Here is a 1,648-nt window from a genome sequence, read left to right as displayed (position 1 = left end):
CAAGTTCCGCCTCCCAGGTTCGCACCATTCTCCTGCCTCAGCCTCCTGAGTAGCTGGGACTACAGGCGCCTGCCACCACGCCCAGCTAATTTTTGTATTTTTAGTAGAGATGGGGTTTCATCGTGTTAGCCAGGATGGTCTTGATCTCCTGACCTCGTGATCCGCCCGCCTCGGCCTCCCAAAGTGCTGGGATTATAGGTGTGAGCCACTGCGCCCGGCCAAGATGCCTTCACTCTTTACATGTCCAGGCTGAGAACTCTGCTCTGCTTGCCTTTTAATTATAAATTTCACCTTTAAATTGTTTCTCTCCTCTTGCATCTTAGCGTATGCAGTTAAAAGTAGCGAGGCAGCTCCTCCAATATTTTGCATAGAAATTTCTTCTACTAAATATGCTAGTTCACTGCTCAATTCCACCTTTCATAATGCCCTAAGACATAGATAAAATTCAGCCAAGTCCTTTGCAAATTTATAACACAGATGGCCATTACTCCAGTTTCCAATAAGATATTTCTAATTTCTGGTCAAAATGTGTTGACATGTATTACCTGAATTTATTGCTGATGTATAATAACACTTCAACTCTAAAATAATATAGCTTTTGGCTGAGAAAACCAAAACTTCCCCCAAATTATGACAAACTTGGTTCCCAAAGCCACTATTTTCATTCATATAATTTTTCAGAGGTCTCCAAATTCTAGTTAAGAGAATAAAAGAAAGTGCTCAGAGTACTTGATTATCTTGTTTCCTTTTTTTTTTTTTAAAGAAATTACTTGGCCGGGCGCAGTGGCTCATGCCTGTAATCCCAGCACTTTGGGAGGCTGAGACGGGCAGATCAGGAGGTCAGGAGATCGAGACCATCCTGGCTAACACAGTGGAACCCTGTCTCTACTAAAAATACAAAAAATTAGCCAGGTGTGGTGGCAGGCGCCTGTAGTCCCAGCTACTCAGGAGGCTGAGGCAGGAGAATGGCATGAACCCAGGAGGCGGAGCTTGCAGTGAGCCAAGATCACACCACTGCACTCCAGCCTGGGTGAAAAAGTGAGACTCTGTCTCAAAAAAAAAAATTACTTTTATGTTTTTATTGTGACTTTTTAGAAATGCAGGAACTATTCCAATAAGGAAAAGATAAAATGTAAAGAGAATCACAATTAAAAGCCTTAAAGGGGCATACACTTAATAACACACACACACACACACACACACACACACACACACACACATGCACACACAGATATTCCTAATTTCTGTCTAAGACCTCATCAGAATGGCCTTTACTGTTTATGTTTCTACCAACATTCTAATCATAACCACTTAAGTAATCCCTAAGAAGATTTAGGTACTTCCTACAGCTCGTCTTCTCAGCCCTCATGGAATTGTCCTTAAGGTTTCATTCATGGTAATATGGACTTTTTCTAGCTCGCTCCTCCAGATTCTTCTGGCTTCTACCCATTACCCAGTTCCAAAGCCACTTTCACATTTTCAGGTATTTGTTATAGCAGAAGCCCCACTTCTTTGTTCCAAATTCTGCATTTGTCAGGGTTCTTCAGAGAGTCAGAATCAGTAAGATGGAAAGATAGATAGATAGATAGATAGATAGATAGATAGATAGATAGATGATAGATAGATAGATGATAGATAGATAGATAGA

At 41.2% G+C, this 1,648-nt stretch overlaps 1 non-coding gene across 1 annotated transcript; it reads left to right on the top strand.

Annotated features, from left to right (window-relative positions):
* Window positions 1-519: 519 nt before the first annotated feature.
* LOC124904807 (small nucleolar RNA SNORD45) lies at window positions 520-602 on the top strand. Its single transcript, XR_007067388.1, has one exon. It is a non-coding gene; the product is annotated as a small nucleolar RNA SNORD45 (small nucleolar RNA).
* The last annotated feature ends 1,046 nt before the right edge of the window (window positions 603-1,648 follow it).

The sequence above is a fragment of the Homo sapiens genome, chromosome 1 (genome assembly GCF_000001405.40).
Source record: "Homo sapiens chromosome 1, GRCh38.p14 Primary Assembly".
Taxonomy (NCBI): Eukaryota; Metazoa; Chordata; class Mammalia; order Primates; family Hominidae; genus Homo; species Homo sapiens.
Note: the sequence above shows the minus strand (reverse complement) of the source record. Positions and strands in the feature narration are given on the sequence as shown.